The sequence below is a fragment of the Homo sapiens genome, chromosome 2 (assembly GCF_000001405.40).
Source record: "Homo sapiens chromosome 2, GRCh38.p14 Primary Assembly".
Classification (NCBI taxonomy): domain Eukaryota; kingdom Metazoa; phylum Chordata; class Mammalia; order Primates; family Hominidae; genus Homo; species Homo sapiens.
The window spans coordinates 225,675,686-225,696,710 of record NC_000002.12 but is presented as its reverse complement, the minus strand read 5'-3'; the positions used below and the strand labels follow the sequence as shown (position 1 = coordinate 225,696,710).

The 21,025-nt window shown below is 34.8% G+C and overlaps 1 protein-coding gene and 1 long non-coding RNA gene across 8 annotated transcripts in view; one reads left to right on the top strand and one right to left on the bottom strand.

Annotated features, from left to right (window-relative positions):
• The window catches only part of LOC105373914 (uncharacterized), a 211,043-nt gene extending 194,881 nt beyond the window's left edge, over window positions 1–16,162 (top strand). For 3 of the 5 annotated variants that reach the window (XR_007088109.1, XR_007088110.1, XR_007088111.1), the window contains 2 exons: window positions 15,116–15,231; window positions 15,470–16,162. This is a non-coding gene — a long non-coding RNA (uncharacterized LOC105373914). Of the gene's footprint in view, window positions 1–13,937; window positions 14,191–15,115 lie in introns of those variants that run through there. The other 2 variants (XR_007088112.1, XR_007088108.1) reach the window with 2 other exon arrangements.
• NYAP2 (neuronal tyrosine-phosphorylated phosphoinositide-3-kinase adaptor 2) overlaps window positions 1–21,025 on the bottom strand; it is a 305,716-nt gene that overhangs the window by 6,944 nt on the left and 277,747 nt on the right. The gene's annotated exons all lie outside the window — the stretch shown is intronic.

Sequence of the window (21,025 nt, the reverse complement as noted above, 5' to 3'; positions counted from 1 at the left end):
AACTAGAAAGAACTGTGAACGTGGATTTTAGTACAACACCCTATGCATAGATGAGGAAGTTATATATCTAGTCCAAAACCAGGCAGGTAGGTTTTGGTGTGAACAAAGCTAAATCAAATTCTCACAATTCCTAATCATTTAGGGAAAGGGCAGGTCCTAGACCTAGAAAACATGGATTTAAATCCTGATGTGTCAAATTTCCATTGGTCACTGGGCTTCCTGGCTTCTTTATCTGAATGAGTGAATTGATAAATTTGGTGTGAGGTTTAAATAGGATAATGAAGGTCAATTCATTTTAAAAACAGTAAACCATTGCCCAAGTCTTATTATTCTAACACTGATGAATACCTAGTAGTTTTCCATACCTATGCTCTGCCAGGCATGTTCAAAGAGCTCTGTTTTATATTAAATCCTCCAAGCCACACTGAAAGAATTTATCTACCTGCTGCAATTACAAAACTAAGTCTCAGAAAGTTTAAGAAACTAGGTCATGGTCACAGCTAATAAATGATACAGACCTATATCAAACTCAGGTCTGTCTGACTCCAGAGTTGATATTTTTCTAATTATATTATGCTCCATTACCTGAATTTTACTTATAAATTATAATAATAGTTATTGTTGTATGTATTACTGTTTCCAGATGCTACTCAAAAATACAACTAAATTTGTGGCTTTATGAGTGAATAAAAACTGCTTATGAAATAATTAAATCAAAGTTACTAGCTTGGACTTGGAGCCCAGAAGATGATACTCTCAGATAAATATCTTGCTTGTACCTAATTTGATAGAGAGTTCCTTGAAAAAATGGGCTGTATTTTATGCCTTTTGGTGTCCTCTAATTCCTAGCTCAGGACTGTAGACATGAGCATTCACTTTTTAAATAAAATTTTAGGTGTTTGTTGAGTTAATCTAATGAATAAGTTTGTGTTCCAACAGGAGACTGTCAAAGTGGCTCAGAAATTTTTCAAAAGACTTACAATATTTCATAACATGATAATCTGTGCAATAAAAATGCAGTAACTCTATTTTGGTGAAAATGCAAGAAAAATTTATTGAGTAACTACAAACTGTCATAATGAAATTTATAACACAGAATTCCCAGAGGACAGGCTTCAAATCTCACTCATCTTGGTGGTCCCAACATGTAGAACAGAGTCCTAGGCTTTCAATAGAAGTTTTATGACTTAAATAGAAGCCAACATCATAGAACAGTTTTTGTTGTCTCTCAAAAAAATAAAATAAAATCCAGATAATCTTCTTAGTAAAATACTATGGGTTCTATACATTTCAACATCATTGCAAAACCTCCAAACTTCTTTAAGTCCCAATATTTCTTACAGCATCACTTCTATGATTTTATTTTATTTAGTTGTCTACACAAACATTAAGTCATGTGTTACTTAATTCCCTTTAATATATTTTGGCATAAATTGGTATGTGCAACTGAAAAATAATTTTTCTGGATTCCCTTGACAACAGGGTCACCTATATATTTCACAGTTGCATAACATTTCATATATGTATATACAGTGTACTGTATTATCCATAAAATATGTATTTTGTGTCAAGCAGAAATGCTATAGAGGTGTGTAAATTTATTAAGAATATATTTCTTAAACTCTAAAGAATAGAAGAATAAGAATAAAAATTATAAAGCTTGGAATTTTATTCTTTAGATTTTTATTTTGCATTAAATAGTTATATGTCCACTTGATTGATAGAATGGTCTGAATTGCTAGAAAAAGAAAATAACTTTTTTTTTCAGACTTACTCCATAATATTTAACTCATGTTTTGGAGACATGTGTAGTGAGTAAGAAAATATTGCCCAATATATAAACTTCCATGAAAAAAGCATTGCCCAATACATGAAAGATGGCTAGGTATCAGACAATAATTCAAACTCAGGTTGCTGGAAGATTGTCCATTCAAAATATAAATATATATTTGAAAATATCTCAACAAATATATAGATTCTAGTATATAATCTTCTTATTTTATATCTGCTATCAATTTGTTTCCATTTAAACTCCCCCAAAATATTTCTGTTAAGATGTGATAAATAAACATAGAATATAATTATATTGTGGGAAGATATATCTGCTTCCCACATTTATTTTTAAATAGCACATGTTTGGGTGCATAGTCATTTTAATTCTCAAAATCGAACTCCAATGTTGCTACTGTGGCCATTTCCATCGTTGAGTCCCCCAAAAATATATCTAAATATTATTTTTTGTTGATAGTAAGATGTCATGCTTTCATTCATTGTTTTGGATATAATAAATAGCATGTTTAGCAAGTATGTGAAGTATGTTAAAAATACTACCCATAAAAAATTGCATCGCTTTTCTATTTTCTTTTCTTTTATCACAAAATTCTTCATATTCTTAAAAGAAAAAAAAAAGATGTGTAAAATCCCATTCCACCTCTCCCTGGAATTGAAAGAACTCTGGGAATTGACTATTAAAACGAATTTGAAGCCAAGCCCAGTAAATAAACTCTTCTAGTTTAGTTATTTAATTCAATGGCCTTATTTCTTATCTTTAATCCAAAGGCATTTATTATACTGTTTATCCCATGAAGAAAAGAAAAAATGTATACGTAAGTAGGTAAGTACACATCAAAAGTTAACTGTAGGACAGTTGTTCAATTCATATGAACACACACCTCTAGGACAAGATTTTTATACCAGCATGATTCAGCAGAAGCAACATCCTTGGATAATAAGTCCATGGAAATAAAATCAAGTGAAGCTTCCTGTCTAGGAGGTGAAATTTCAATCTCCACCCCTTTTTTGTGGGCTACACACAGTGACTTCTTCCTAAAAAGTACAGTGTGGAAAGCTAGGAGGAAAGTAACTATACATTGGAGGAACCTGGTGTTATGGTCTGAACGTTTGTGCCCCCTTAAAATTCTTATGTTGGGATCCTGACCTTCGAGGTGATGGTACTAAGAGGTGGGACCTCCTCAAGGTGATTGGGAGGTGCATGGGACTAGTACTCTTATAAAATAATCCCAAGAGAGCTCTTCCACCCCTTCAGCCAGGCTGCCGATACAGCAAGTAGTCAACAGTCTGCAACCAGGAAGAGTGTCTTTACCAGATCATAACCATGCTGTCACCCTGGTCTTGGACTTCTCAGTTTCCAGAACGGTGAAAAATAACTTTTTGTTGTTTATAAGCTACCCAGTGTATAGTATTCTGTTCTGGCACCCCAAACGGACAAGAAACCTGGCAAACATCACCCCCAACAGGCGATCAACCGTAGTAAACTATACTGGCAGTATGTATCCTTGGTATAATGTGATGAGACCAGAGACACTTTTACCTCTGCCATCTTCCTCCTCAAAACCCATAACTCCACTCTAATCATGAGAAACCACTAGAGAAACCCAAATTGAGAGACAGTTTACAAAATACCATACCAGTACTCCTCAAAGCTCCAAAGGTCATCCAAAATAAGGAAAGTCTGAGAAACTGTCACATCCTAGAGAAGGGTAAGGAAACCCAATGACTAAGTGTAATTAATTTACATGCTATCCTGAAAGGGACTCTGGAGCAGGAAAAGAACATTGGATTAAAAACTAAGGGCACTGGAATACAGTATGGATTTAAGCTGATAATGATGTATCAATATTGATTCATTAGTCATGACACATGAACCATGGTAATGTAAGATATTAACAATGGGAGAAACAATGGGTGTGGAATATGTGGGAACCCACTATACACTCTTTGGAACTCGTATGTGAATTAAAAACACTACTTTAAAATTAGAAATATATATGTACACACACATATATGTGTAAATATATGTGTGTGTGTGTGTGTGTGTGTATGTTTAAAGATAAGTGAAGAGACTATATTCTTTTCAAATCTTAATTTTAACTGTATCTTTCATTCTTTAAAAGGAAGCAACATGGTATCATGGAAAGAGCTAAATGACTTGATTGGGATCCTGATCATTGTGTGACATTGAAAAGTCATGAATATCTCTGAATTTCCTAAATACTATATATTGAATGAATATTGGTACATAATTCATACATACATAGTATATAAATTTATATATGCTTCACATATACATTTTATGGATATTGTACTGTGTGTGTGTATATATATATAAAAAATACATGTTGCTACACACGTCACACTTTATGTGGTTGTAGGAGGCAGAGAGCTAAAGCATATAAATGGAGAAATCCCCATATATTGTAACAATCTCATCTAATGATCCTTCAATGCATAAGGAGTGACACAAATGAGAAAGAACCTTTAGTTCACTTCAATAATTACTTTCTCTAGAAAATAAAATTAATTACTTCCTGAGATTAAGAGTATATTTTCTCCAAAGAACAAAGGAATAGCAATGCAGTGCCATAATAAATCTCCATAATATTCAATTTTCCAAAGTAGATAAATCATAAAGAGAAAAGAAAATACTCTGAAATAAGCACTTGGAGTATTTCATTATTGAAAATGATACCAAAATAAAACTGATACAAGCATGCATATCTCTATTGATTTTGATTTTTGTGCCTCATTAGTTAGCATGTGAAAAACAATAATTTATCAAAGGCCTAGGAGACAGAGCACGATGCCAAGCAAGCGCCTTGTTAACCTTGGAATTAATTTCATCTAGGAGTCTTGAGACTTGTCGTGAGAGTAAAATTTAATTTCTTGAACAATAGGCACAGCAATCAATCAATACTAATTTTCAGATGATCTGGGGCAACATTGTCAGTCCTGTGTTGCTGTCTCTGGGCCAACCTCTCCAACCTGCATTGCCGGTTGTGTGAGAAATTGTCATTTCCTGCATAAGGAGTGTAAGTTTAACCTGGCTGAAAAGGAAGCTGGAGTTCTCAAAGTTCTCTGGATTTTCCCTTTAAGGGAAGTTTCTCCAGGAGACCATGGATAGCATTGGTGAGGGAACAAGGAAGAGAAGGCATGAAACCCAGTGTGTGTGACTCAAGAAGGGGAGACAACTTCAGAAATTATGGGAGGCCGCGAGTCACCTGCAACTGTGCTTGTCCTGTCTTTAGGAGTCATGAGGTCGGCCAGGGGTGTTATTGCTCTCATTGAAAATGTTCTTCTTCTCCCATGTAGTGGGCAAAGAGGTTGATTTTTGAATTATAAAAACATACAGGAAAAAGTAAGCACATAAACACCATGGCTTTTTTACATATATCTTCAAGATAATGGATAGGGGTCGGCAAACTACAACCCACTGGCCAAATACAGCCCACTGCCTGTTTTTGTGCTGTCCATGAGTAAGAATTTGTTTTTATATTTTTAAATAGTTAAAAAACTAAAATGAAGTGTATTTCATGACACATGGAAATTACATGAAATTCAAATGGTGGTGTACATAAATCAAGATTTGGGGCACACAGATGTACCTATTTGTTGACGTACTGTCTACAAGGTAGAATCGAGTAGTCAGGATAGAGACTATAGGCTCATAAAGCTGGAAATATTTATAACCTGCCCCTTTACAGGGAAAAAAAAAAGCGCTCACTCCTGAACTATCATGTAAGATGAAAAATAATTAATAAAATTTAACCACTTTGCTATGATGCATAAACTATCTGAAAAACTCAAATAAATAGTATGCTAGACCTGTAAAAAGTGGGAAAATAATTTTAATTAAACATCTAAAAACTTGTTAAATTTCCACTTACCTGCACCTCAGTAAATGGTTTTTGGAAAAAACTACTGTTACCCTAACATCACACTCTTTCCTAAACGTGTTTTCAACTAAGTAAATGATCATTTGACCCTTAAAATAAGTATCTATTAGAATTGTCTGATAGAAGGCAGAAAAAGATAATGTTAGTATTGGTGCTATATAAACAACTATAAAACAAAATCAAGAGTATTGATTCACACGGGCTTACAATATTTTTCCTATTGAGTTTGGCCCATTAGATAAACCAGAAATGATGAAACCTAGATTTGAAATCAGTTATAGAAATTTATTTAGAAAATTTCTCTATTCTAAATATGTCAGTTACATATTTTATAATTCCATCATTAGAAGGAAAAGCCGTATGTTAGAATTAAAGAGAGAAACTGATTTAAATTGTATAGATAAGAGATTTAATATTAGGTCAACTCTTTTTAATAACCCTGCAGAGGTTACTTAGTTGCCTGTGATGTGTTACTGTGGTGACTTAACCTGAAAAATATAAATTTAATTTGAGAACTTTCCCCCTAGTTTTAGTGAATTTATTTCAACTATATTTTGGAAAGTATGGGTCAACTTTACATAATTTGGACAACAACATAGCCCTCAATAAATCTTTTGAAATTGATATAACGTAGAGCTGGAAGGATTATAATTTTCTGCACTTGTCAGCATATTCAGTAATAAAATTGCTTCCTTAGTTATCAAATCACAAGTCTTTCAAATGATCATCACAGAGAAAAAAAATATTTTTAATGAGCATATTTGACCCATGTATCTGTTATAAAATAATTGATATGTTGGAAACATATAGAGGCAACACTACTCCTCAGAATATTTTACACTAAATGTTTAAAAAGGAACAGTCAGATAATTCATGTGGGTTTACAATTAATTATAGACACCATTTGTGCCACTTTAAAAGTATAAATTCAAGGCTAGGAACATGACTCTGCACTATAATTTTCTTCCTTTTTATGAAGGCCGAATGAAGCTATTTGAACAGGTAATCTAAGTGGGCAATACCAAAATAGTAGGGGCTTTTCAATTCCATTGGCCGGAATTTGATTTTAGGCTTTCAATCTCACTTTGATGACATTGTATAAGTTACTTATCTGGCTTTCTTGAATAACATGACAATTAGGGATTATATATAAAATGTACCTAACTTTCAGACTTTGATATTATTTGAAATAATATGCACCTCTGTCATATCTTTAGGTTTTTCCATAGTCCTTCTCCTGTATTTTTTTCCATCTTTAACTCTAATCTACTGATCATGTATTTCTTTAATTGTCCCCTTATAATTCTCCCTCATTTATCAGCACTGTTGACTCAGAACACATGTTTTATGAAAAATTATTAGGCAAGTCTACACCTGAAGCATGTACTGGAATTGCAGTATTTATTTCCCATGTCTAAATTTAGTTTTGAGATATAGACATATTGAAAAAATGTGAACCATGTCTTGATTTCAGAGTTGCTTTTGAATGCAAAATCATGAGTACACATTAACTCCTGCTCTTCTTTTTCTAGATCTAAAAATCACCTGTGATGTACAGTCTCTGATCAATTGCTAGGTACATAATAACAAACATCACATGTTGATATTTTAAGTTATATATACTATTTATTTTTATGTATCTGGGCTTGCTTACCTTACCAATTACATAAAAGTCACTCATCAAGAAGATTTAAAAGTTATAAATGAATAAGACAGTTACGTGATTATAAAGAAAAATCATTTCAAATTAACATCTATTGCTCATTTTCTCTGCCTGTAAAATGAGGAAAACACCTAATGCTTCAATCTATAGTGATGTCCTTTAAGCAAGACCCATGTCACAAATTACTTTCAGGGATGAAGGCTGGTTTCAACTACCATGCTGAACAGTGACAATTAATAGCTTATTTCAAGCTCCTAATAGAATGCACATCCCTTTTAAAATATGTATGTGTGTGTTTGATGTTCAATTTTCAAGCTGGGCGCAGTGGCTCACACCTGTAATCCCAGCACTTTGGGAGGCTGAGGCAGCAGATCACTTGAGGTCAGGAGTTCCAGACCAGCCTGGCCAACTTGGCAAAACCCCATCTCTGCTAAAAATACAAAAATTAGCCAGGCACGGTGGTGTACACCTGTAATCCCGGCTACTCGGGAGGCTGAGGCAGGAGAATCGCTTAAGCCCAGGAGGCAGAGGTTGCAATGAGCCAAGATCGTGCCACTGCACTCCACCCTGGGTGTCAGAGCAAGACTCCATCTCAAAAATAGACAGACAAAAAAAAGTTGATTTTCTATTTTCTGAGGAGACAGTATAAGATGAATAAAATGGATAAGATGATGTGGTTTTTATCACTTATTATATGTGAGATCAGAACAAGTTACCTAACCTTTCCTTTTTTTAACCTGTAAAATGAAAATAATAAAATAGGTTTCTTGAGAAGATTAAATGTCCTAATTTGGTATCTACTGAAAAGTGGACACTTCTAAAAATATAAGCTTTTCTACCCCAGTAGACAATGAACTCTTTAAAGACAGGGACTCCATTATTAATCTTCATATTCTTAGCTTTTAACACAGTAAAATTATGCAATAAATGTTCATAAAAAATGAATGAATAAACAAATGGATCACACTAAGTGTAACATTTTCTGAGTATTTTCAGGAAAGGTGCTTTTGAAATCCTTGATTTCATGAATGAGTTCATTCCACTTTGGCTCAACTGAATCCAACAATACCTCAAATTGTACAAAGTTAACAAAAATATTGCCTGGGCTTTATAAACCCCAGGAGGCATCTAACCTGAAACTCAGTCCTCAATGCCATGTGAGTCACACCTGGGTGTTCAATGACTGAGAACGTCTCTTTTTCAAACTCTGGACATCAATCCTTGGCCCTTTGGCTGAAGTTGAGACACAAATCAATGCTCCCTAAGCCTTAGTATGCATTCAACCAAGGAAGTATGCAACTCCCTTGGGAGTTTATTAAAATGCAAATTCTTAGGCACCAATGTCAGAGAATCTGACTTTAATTCTAGATAAGGTGGGTCTTAAGCAGTTATAGTTTTATTAGGCTTCCTAGTGATTTTGATGGATGATAGGCTGAGCACCACATTTTGAGAGATACCCAAATTCTAGTTAATGATAAGAGGTTATACTAACTCAAGAGGGCGCAGAAACGTTCTCTCAAGATCTGACCTTTCCCGTTCTCTGTCCATACGTACTGGGTACAACATGCAAGTAAAGAATCAATTGAGATTTTGAGAGAAGTCAGACAGATTTTTGTCTTAGCAAATTATTTCAAGTACAGTCTATCCATTTTGCATATATTTATAAATGTATCCATGTATCTCTATGCATATTTACACATATGTGCATATATTATATATTTATGATTAAATCACTGAATCATTTTAAGGTCTCTTAGTTAACATATTACTTAAGAAATAAAATTGCAAAAGTGTCTTAAAGAATATATGTGTCAATAATGTCATTCAAGAAAAAGTGGTGGCCTAAAGTTAATAAGGTGCCATATATTGAGATTTTTGATTGATCTAAAGGAATTATCCCAAAACATTCTTCAGTGACATCATAAAAGTTCTAAGATAAATTGGCAAGTTATATGCACCTTCTATCTTGTGACTTTGGAGAGAAGGATTGTCACAATCTATAAAATAAACATAGCAGTATCAACAATGTAATAATACCAACAACCATGATTTATTGCACATAACCATGTTCCAGGCACTCTATGAGCCCTGGACATATCTCAATTCCCTTAAAGCTTAATAACTCTTAAGCATGCCCTATTGATATATTTCAGATAATAAAATGAAGCTTGAAGAGATTAAGTTACACGTATAGCATCACATGCCTAATAGAAGACAGAATTAGAATTGCAATTCAAGACTAAATATATCACATGCTAAATAAAAACTGCACTCAGTATTATAGCAGATTGCTTCACAGCTAATTATGAGTAAAGTAGTTCTTATTAGAAACACATACACACAAGCACAATTACTTCCCTTCATATAGCCCATGACATGGGAAGTGCACTTGATCAAACAAAGGCTGTTAAGTTTGCTGCTGGAAGATAAGAGGACTTATAAACTGTTAATCAAAACTTTGATGGATAAATGAAAATTTGACCTTTCTATTTGTCATTGTTGTCATCACTACCATTGTCTTCGTCTTCATTATTATCAAGATCCTAGGCACAATAACCACAGTGTTTCCACACAGTGGGCAAGGCACTGTGTAATCACTATGTCTGCTCCATCTTATCTCACCTCCAAATAGCTTACTCACTGGTAGAACCTCCATATACTTGTGTACTGAAAATACATTGCCCACTATGGGTACAGCATCAAAAGAAGTCCCTCTAAAGGTAAATTTTTAAAATTTTATTTCATCAGCCACACTGCAGATCATTTCAGTAAACCCTGTTTTCCTCAGTTTCATGGTAGCAGACAAATATAGTACAGTAATCCTTACATACATATTTATGCTTCTGTAAGTATATTCACAAGTATGTTAGTGTCTCTTGAGTTACATGAAAGTGTTAGCTGATACACTGAATTGCATTAGGAGAAAAAGCCAGGGAGAAAGTCTTCACCCGTGAAAAAGGCCAGGAATGGTTTTCTTCCCTCCATGAAATAAGATGCTAATTGCATGAAACCATCATTTTACAAACTCTTGCTGCAGCGAAATTTTAGAGAATGAAATTTCAAAATCTAGAAAATACATCACATTTGCATATTACAAGATGACAACTAATACAAAATCAGAATAGAATGTTAACTTTGTATCTCTTAGGAGCAAATGCAAAGAGCAAATTGGAAATGTATATGATTTAGCACATGTTCTCTGCTGAAAGACTATAACCAGACATACAATGAAAACCTACCCATCCAACAGCACACCATCTATCGAGGTGTGAGTGACATGGTATTTCTTCTTTATGCATGTATACAGAGCATACATACAGGTGTAATAAGTAAATTATTACGGGTAAAACTACAAGAAAATAAAATGACAGAAAAAAATCATAATATTGCATGAAAAAGACTTGATTTGTAACTTAATTCTTGTGTGTCTGAAATTGGCTAAAAGTTTTGTTCCATTGAAATTTGTATAAAGTTGTGAAGAATATCTAAAATAAGCATAAGTGACATGTGATGCAACATACTTATATATCACATCGTAAGAGGCTTTTCAGAAGAAAATTGATTCACACTAAAATATATTTTAAAAACTATGTTTGTGTCCACATACAGAACCATGGTATAATCTTTAAAAAGCAATATATGATTCTTGATTTGACTTTTGACTATTTTATGATTATAAAGTATTTGGCCTTGGAGATTAAAAATGACTATAGAAAAAAATGTGACATATTATTTTCCAATAAAGAAGACAGAACTTATTTCTCAGTAATTCAACCTAGTAATGACTACAACTACAGTTGCAGCTATTAATTGATTAAGCTAATTGTTTGTTATAAAGAAAAAATCCTCTGAGCAGATTCCTGAGTTAATTTATGTGTTTTTAAATGAGCAAGAATTCTGTAAATAGAAGGCCTTCTAAAGAGATATTCCCTGAAGGAACAAGCAGTATTACAAGATAAAATTCAATTATAAAAAAGGTATTGATATCTTTCACTAAGTATATTATCTTAATCATTTATATTAGCATTAATACAATTTCAAGTTTAATTTCATTATAAAATATTGGTTTTTAATAGTATATATGGGCTTGACCACAGATAAATGAGGGAGAGCCACTTCTCAGTAAACATGTGGTTTATCCAGCAAAAGAAAAGGAAGCTCATAGGCAAGGAAAACATACTAATACTCAAGAACAGACTTAAATTATAATTGTTTAAACAGCTAAAAAACATTTTTAGTTTTATAACTTTGAATTGAACTGGGGAAGTACCTGTAAAATATGTTTTTTCTTCACTAGAATGCATTTCCCAAAATGAGCCTAAGTACATTATAAAAGGAGAAACATGCTGGCAATTCCAATAATTCTGTTCTGGAGCCAGTTATTTTGCTAGCTCTGGGCAAGTCATGTCACTTATCTTGGCCTCAGGTTAGAACAGACCAGTGGGTCCAAACTGTGGAACATATCACACCCACAGTTGTGTTTTGTATAAAATGCAGCATATTTGGTTGGCTGTGGTGGCTCATGCCTATAATCCCAGCACTTTGGGAGGCCGAGGGGGGCAGATCACCTGAGGCCGGGAGTTCGAGACCAGCCTCACCAACATAGTGAAACCCCATCTTTACAAAAAGTACAAAAATTATCTGGGCATGATGGCAGGTGCCTGTAATCCAGCTACTCTGGAGGCTGAGGCAGCAGAATCGCTTGAACCCAGGAGACGGAGGTTGCAATGAGCTGAGATCATGCCACTGCACTCCAGCCTGAGTGACAGTGAGACTCTGTCTCAAAAAAAAAACAAAAAAACTATATTTAAGATTTTTGAACCAAGGTGGAAAAAACAAATCAGGAGATTACATAGTAAGAGAGAAGAGAAAGGTGAGAGCTGGGGGTGGGGAGAAAAGGTAAGGCTGACAGAGCCTGAATTTTGGCTTCTCTAAAAAAAAAAAAAAAGAGAGAGAGAAAGAAACATAGCAACAATGAACTGCAGCAGAGATTTCTCTGCCCTTTTCAAGTGGGCTTGCCTTTCCAGTTCAACCTAATCCCAATTGTGATCTCCACACAGAAGCAAAGTGCCGGTTGCCATTTTTCATCTCACTGGTAATAAAACTTTTCATAGAGCAGAAAAAAATATTTGCCATACTTGATTCTATCAAAATGAGGAAGTACTGATTTCCATTCTCTCCTCGGCAGCAGCCACAGGTATTGGAGTTTGTGTCTCTCTGACCAGACCATCTAAATAAAATCTCCTTTTAATCTGTGACTCCAAGTCTGAGTCACATTGACCTAAAGCCTGACCCTTTTCCTCCAAAATCCAAACCAACACTTACTCCCCAAGTAATCAAAATAACACTTGTAATTTTGCCCATAAATTGACTAGACTTCTCTCATAATTGGACTTCCTCAAAAGAGATTGATCATTTTGCCTTTTAACCAAATTTGTCCAAATATGTATGAGGTCAGTATGAAAAGGCAGAAAAAAAAATGAACGTCCCTTATGAGAAACCCAAAATCAGCATAGGAGCAAGCCGTTTACTTCCAGTTCGTGACCTACCAAGCCAAGAGTTCAAAAGATAGCCCCCTTCCTTGCTGCTTTTATATTTTCCATCTTGCTCTCTTTTATGGCTTCTCTCCTGCTTCTCATGCTGTTTACCCATTGCCAAAAAAGACACCTTTCCCTTTGGAGCACCTAAAAATGAGGTGGCATGGCCCATCTATCTACCTGTTGTCTAAAAGAGACATGTATGTAGAAGGAACCTACCCAGGGATTCCATTGGTGTCTCAACTAAAAGTCTCAAAATGTAATTTCCAAAATTTGCTGTTAACTTACTTCTCATTAAGATAATATGATGTCATTTGCTCAAGTCAAAATAACTGGAAAGAATTTTTTATTAAATGCTGATTAAGGTTTTTAGCATTGAGGATGCCAGCTAGCTTAAAAATATCTTCTCTAAATCAATACTCACGAGGCTTCTATAGTTGTGACAAACACACACTGTAAGCCTGAAGGTGATCGAAGTTATTACCCAGAAAATGGCTCTCCCCTCTCAGGCTCTCTCAGCACCAAGCTTTCAAGGGATATTGCCTGTGGGTCATGGCATTATTCTCATCTATAGATAGGGACCAGCTTAGGCTCAGAAATAGAATAGTAAAGTGCCACCAAAAAGTTTTTGCTGAAAATTATTTCAGGCTTGTCCCTACGCCTCTTCCATATGATATCATCCCAGTTCACAAGCCACGATAGCATTTGCCACCATGATATCTTTCAGTTGTATGCTCCAAAGAATGCAAAGAGTCAACAGAGGAATAATACTGGGAAGAGTAGTAGGAAGAACAGAATGGGGGGGGGAAATGACTATTACTACCCTAGTTTTCTTCCTAGTGAAACTGCTTTCCTCATGTCATTTATCTGCCTAGAAATGTCAATGGCTTCCATTGTCAAGAGTATTAAGTCTACATAACTTCATCTGTAATGGAAACATATGGAACTTAGAGCTACATCTGCCTTTATGATCTCATTGCCTACAATTCTCTCATAAGAACTCTGGGCTCTCTCAGCTTATGGCACCCATCCTATTTCTGATTCAAATTGAAAGATGATTTTTTTCTTATTCAAGACTCCTAGGTCTCATTCCAAAGATGAAGCATGCCTGCTACTTTTGAAAATATGAGGAATTCTTTTGATAGCTGTTTGTACCCAGTTTCTAAGAGCCTGAAGAAATGACAACACAACTTCACAAAGCCATGCTTTCATAAAAACCGTAATGACAAGTCTCCTTTCCTCCTCCACCTCCAGTTCTTAGACTAAGATCCATTAGCCACTCAGAAATAAAATACAAGTAAGGGAAAAAATTAAAATCAAGACAATGGAGAAGCAGGAGGCTATGAGTGTTTTCTAATAGTTTGTAGCTACTGGAAGTGTTCAATTGGAGTTGAAGTGGCCAAAAAATTATAACACTCTCCTACTTTCATATCTTCTTCCTCATTTTAACAGCTTTTACTCATGGCTTTTCACACTTACTGAAATAAAGAGAATTCTAAATGCATTGGCTACACTGTGGTAAAATAATTCACTAAAGACCTTATAATGTGTCACAGCTATGCTTTGACCATAGTGGGAGATAATAAAGACCCTATATTTTGTAACAATTCTTATTTTTCTTGGAATATCTTCTTCAAGACCAGTATATGATGAACTTTCTCTAATGATACCAATGTAAATGCTTTTCTCAGTTGGCTACAGAAGGCATGTTCAAGCTCAAGATCATGCTCACAATGATTGGATGGTTTGGCTCTTTCAATAAGTGTCAAAGTACAATAAGGACTAGATAGTATTTCTCTGTAGTAATAATAATTGAAATGCTAAAAACAATACAAACAATGGCTAACATATAGTGAGCACAAGCAATCTGCCGGGGGTCTTCCAAATGTCTTATATATGCTAACCTATTTACTCCTCATACTCACACCAGCCTTATAAGGTTGACATTATGATGCTCACTTTATAGATGAAGAACTGAGGCTCTGTGAATAAGAAACATGCCCAAAGGGACTGAGCAAATAAGTGGATAGAACTGGAATCTGAACTCAAGTGAACTAACTCCAAAACCACCACTTTTAAGTCTTGTAGAATGTGGCTCTGCAATTGAGGTTGTGCATAAATGCAGTGAGATTATGGGTATTTTATATTATGTATCTACCACCATTCCTGGAAAATAGCATGTGACCAAAAGTGCTCATTTTCTTTTTCTTATTCTTCCACAGATTGAATAACTGAGGCTTGATAGAGTTACATCACTTGTCCAAAGAGATAATGCCAGTGAATGGAATAGCCAGATCGAATTCCAGAATCCGTAAAGCTCCACTGCTTCTCTCTGAATGTAATAACCCATCCACAAGCCCTAAGATATTAGACACATCAGTGATCACTCCATCTGCTTTTGGCCCATTGCTGTTGTCAGGATTTATGCATTTATGTCTGCAATAATTATTTATTGAGGACCTTCTCTCTTGCAATTGCATATGGCCTTATAACTGAATTCTGACTTTATGTCTCTCTTAGGATAGACAGATAAAAATTTTTCATATGTGATCTTCTTTCTGTCCCCTACCTCTCAGCTATGAGCCTGAAACAGCAGATTCAGTAGAACAGAGTTTCTCAGGAATGGCAGAGCCACAAGTTGGGAGGAGCCCAGCTCTGTCCAACAACCTGGAACATCCATCAACCAGGAAAACTGTTGCACTTTATGTGATTAAGAAACATTTTTTAAGGAAAAAAGCAGTAAATTTTTGGGTTATATTTGTTGCAATAGCTGTGTTACTTTCCTAATGCACAATCACAAATGTAAAATGCCACACACAGAGTGTGAGGAAATATATTGCTATTGGACTACTTGTAGTCTATTTAATTTTTTTATATAGCTATAGCCAGATCTGGGGTGAAATGGTTTAGAATAATAATTTCCAATAGTATACATCATACCTTTAAAAAGACTTTTATGGATGGATAAATATCTAATTATGGAACTGCCCTGCAACGTAAGTGGTGAGAGAAACTCTTTATATATGCTTTGTTTTTTTCTGAATGCATAGGTTCAGAATTATTAAACAAATCCTCATCTTTTGACAGCCAGTAATCAATTTCTCATTTGCAGGGAATCTAATTGCATTAGAGGGGACACTGGGGAAGTTATGGACTACCTCATCTTTCTACTATAAAAAATGAAACTACTTGTCTGTATTGAATTTGATTTTATATGTTCAATGAAATATATCATATCCTTATAATAAAGTTATATAAGTTGCAATGACTATCTTTACAAGGTTTTCTTATCAGAACATTCCTTAATTATTTTAAAAAAGAATTTCTTGAGAAAACTGAACACTAGAACTCTAGAAAAATGCAAATTATTGCCTGTAGAATAATGCAGGGAGCAGTGCCATACTTGGCATTCATAATTGGACAGAATCTACTCTATAAGATTGCAACCCCTTTCTATGTGTAAGCAGAATCAACTACATACTCTTAGGCTTTATTGGTATCCTCTTATAAGAAAACTGAGAGCTTTTCCTATACTTCTAAACTTAAGAAACACATTACATTCTGCCAGAGATATCCTTGCTTAGCAAGGGAGAGACTTCTTTGTGCAATTTTCTTAAAAACATTTAATGACTTCTGCTGACGTTTTGACTTGATGCCTTGGAGCAAGTGAGTAGCTAAACTGAAGAATCCAAGCTCTCATTGATTGTGTGCAAGAAATATGCAACAAGGGAAAGTGTGAAGAGGGAAACTGAACAGTCATAGTATGTTAAACCCGGTGCTATCTATCTCATAGATTATCTCATCTAATCTTATATGTTCATGTAACAGTATCTACCAAAATATTTATGACTATATATTACAAGTGAGGAAACTGAAACTCTCAAGAGCTGGGTGGTAAAGGGCAGAAAGTTTTAGGCCAGTGCTGATTGATTCTAAGGGTTGTCATCTTTCTACATGCAAATACATTATTTCAAATTAGAATAAAGATAAAAGTCAAAAATAAAATAGATTAAAAAATTAAATCAGGCCGGGCACAGTGGCTCACACCTGTAATCTCAGCACTTTGGGAGGCCGAGGCAGGCAGATCACAAGGTCAGGAGATCAAGACCATCCTGGGCAACATGGTGAAACCCTGTCTCTACTGAAAATACAAAAATTAGCTGGGCATGGTGGTGCATGCCTGTAGTCTCAGCAACTACAGAGGCTGAGGCAGGAGAATAGCTTGAACCAGGGAGTTGGAGGCTGCAGTGAGCTGAGATCACACCACTATACTGCAGCCTGGGAAACAGAGTGAGACTGTCTCAAAAAAAAAAAAAAAAAAAAACAATTAGAAGCTCCACTCTTAAAATGAGAATGTATTACCAACATGTTTGCAATATTTAAATGTTGTTTGAAATTCTGTTGGGTGGTGAATAGAATTACTTCAATTAAATATAACTATCATGTGCATTAATGAACATTGTAGGTAATATTGTTGCAAATACCAAGATGCTCTCTGCACCATATATAATTAATGCAAAACATCTCAGTGGTTAGTTTTAATTTTGTTCTAGGACCATGACTTCAAATTATACAGTGTTATTAATATTTTCTTTTCTACCTTTTTTTTCTCAAATAAAGTACTTGCTTTTATAAGGCATTCCTCAAAAGTGAGAACATGATTCCAAAAGCAATTGTTATTGTGTCCATACTTATTAAGCTACATTTTCCCCTGAACAACACTTGCCAAGTTTCTTATACAATATACTTAATCTCTCTTTCTTAGCTGGGATAAGAATAAAATAATGTATTCATTGTCCTTTGAGGATTGAACAATGATAAGAAAACCAATGATGTCATCAATCTACTTTATCATAAATTACCATTATCCTCTATTCTTTAGGACTCTAATTACAGCTCATCTTAATTACCTCTATTTTTCAGATAAGGCACCTGAGTCAGAAAGGTTAAATAATTTGTCCATGAAACTCAGCAAGGGGATAATTGAGCCAGGGTTAAACCCAGAAATTCCATATGTCTGCACATTTACATCCATTCTCACTGCTTCATGGGCAATGCATTTCATAAGTTAGTATTTCAGTTGAAATACCTCTTGGCCCCTCAACCTTGTATCTGATACCTTATCATGCAATTCAAGTATATGTAACGTCCAAGAAAGAAACGAAAAGTCTTTTTATTTTTACTCTCTTTAATAAAATGCAGCATATTGAAGAAAAGATTGACTTCTTCCAATAAGATTTTAGAAAAAGGACTGAAAGAACTTTATCTTCAAAGATACTGCTATTAATTGGTTCTAAGTTTTGAGAAGAGTAAGGGATGCAATGAGAGGAACTAGAAAAAGATCAATCCAACCACACAGCTGGCAGAATTAAATACATAAATAAATAAAATCTGAGAAGGACTCAATGAAATTGAGACCCAAAAGTTCATACAAAAGATCAATGAAACAAAGTTAGTTCTTCAAAAGAATAAATAAATTGATAGATCATTAGCTAGATGAACAAAGGGGATAAAAAGAGAAGATTCAAATAAACGCAATCAGAAATGACAAACATGACCTTACAACCGCTCCCACAGAAATACAAAAGATCCTCAGAGACTATTCTGAGCACCTCTGTGTAAAAGTTAGAAAATCTAGACAAAATTGATAAATTCCTGAAAACACACAGCCTCCAAAGATTCAATCAGGAAGAAAGTGAAAACCTGAATAGACCAATAAGAAGTTTGGAAATAGAATCAATAATTAAAAAAACAACCAACCAAAAAAGAGACCTGGACCAGATGGACTCATAGGTAGATTCTATCATATGCACAAAGAAGAACTGACATCATTCCTGCTGAAACTTTTCCAAAAATTCAAGGAGGAGGAGTTTCTCCCTAACTCATTCTAAAAAGTCAGCCTCATCCTGATACCAAAATCTGGCAGAGACACAATGAAAAAAGTAAATTTCATGCCAATATCCCTGATGATCATAGACACAAAGAACCGCTACAAAATACTAACAATCCAAATCCAGCAGCACCTCAAAAAATTAATTTAAGATGATCAAGAAGATTTTATTTCTGGGATGCAATGTTGGATCAACATATGCAAATCAATAAATATGATTCACCACACAAACAGAATCAGAAACAAAAACCATATGCTCATCTCAATAGATGCAGAGAAAGACTTCAATAAAATCCAATATCCCTTCATGATAAAAAAAAATCCTCAACAGATTAAGCATTGCAGGAACATACTTCAAAATAATAAGACCCATCTAGGACAAACCTGCAGTCAACATCATGCCAAATGGGCAGAAGCTGGAACCACTCCCCTTGAGGACTGGAAGCAGAACAGGATGCCCACTCTCACCACTCTATTCAACACAGTACTGGAAGTCCTAGCCAGGGTAAATCAGAAAAGAGCAATAAATAAAACACATCCAAACAGGAAAAGAAGTAAAACTATTCTCTCTTTGCCAAAGATATGATTCTATGCATAGGAAACCCTGAAGACTCCACCGAAAAGCTCCTGGAACTGATAAATAACTTTAGGAAAGTTTCAGGATACAAAATCAATGTGCAAAAACGAGTAGCATTTTTATACACCAATAATATTCTAGCTTAGAACCAAGTCAAGAACATAATCCCATTTATAATAGCCACAAATAAAATGAAAAACATAGAAATCCATCTAACCAAGAAGGTGAAAGATCTCTACAAGGAAAACTACAAAACACTGCTCAAAAAAATCAGAGACTCTCTAACACAAATAAATAGAAAATTATTCCATGCTCATGGGTTGGAAGAATCTGTATAGTTAAAATGGCCATACTGCCTAAGGCAACTTACACATTCAATACTATCCCTATCAAAATGCCAATATCATTTGTCACAGAATTATAAAAATCTATTCTAAAATTCATTTGGAACCAAAAAGCCCAAATAGTCAAAGCAATTCTAACCAAAAAGAATAACGCTAGAGGTATCACATTGCCTGACTTCAAACTATACTATAAGGCTACAGTAATTAAAACAGCATAGTACTTGATATAGTTTGGCTCTGTGTCCCCAACAAAATCTTATCTTGTGGCTCCCATAATTTCCACATGTTGTGAGAGGGATCTGGTGGGAGATGACTGAATCACAGGGGTAGGCCTTTCCTGTGCTGTTCTCGTGATAGTGAATGGGTCTCACAAGATCTTATGGTTTTTAAAATAGAAGTTGCTCTGTACAAGCTCTCTCTTTGCTTGCTGCCATCCATGTAAGATGAACTTGCTCCTCCTTGCCTTTCACCATGATTGTGAGGCCTCCCCAGCCATGTGGAACTGTAAGTCCCATTAAACCTCTTTCTTTTGTAAACTGCCCAGTCTACAACCATATAATCTTCAATAAAATTAACAAAAATAGGCAATGGAGAAAGGATTCCCTATTCAATAAATGGTGCTGGAAGAATTGGCTAGCCATATGCAGAAGAATGAAACTAGACCCGTACCTCTCACCATATGTGAAAATTAATTAAAGATGAATTAAAGATGTAAATGTCTGACCTCAGAATATAAAAATCCTAGAAAAAAAACAGGAAATACCCTTCTCAACCTAGGTTTTGTGAAAGAATTTATGGCTAAGTCCCCAAAAGCAATTACAACAAAATCAAAAATTGATGTGGGGCCTAGTTAAACTAAGAGCTTCTGCAGAGCAAAACAAATTACCAATAGAGTAAACATACAGCATATAGAATGAGAGGAATTATTCATAAACTGTGCCTCTGATAAAGGTCTAATATCCAGAATCTACAAGGAACTTAAATCAACAAGCGAAAAACAAAAACAAAAGCAAAAAATCCCAGTGAAAAATAAGCAAAGGACACGAATAGACATTTCTCAAAAGAAGGCACACAAGTGGCCAACAAACATATACAAAAATGTTTAAGATCGCTAATCATCAGAGAAATGCAAGTCAAAACCATGATGAGTTACCATCTCACATCAATTGGAATGGTGACTATTAAAAAATCACAAAACTACAGATGTTGTCAAGGGAGCAGAGAAAAGAGAATGCTTATACATGGTTGGTGGGAATAAAAACTAGTTCAGCCACTGTGGAAATCAGTTTGGAGATTTCTCAAAGAACTTATAATAGGAGTA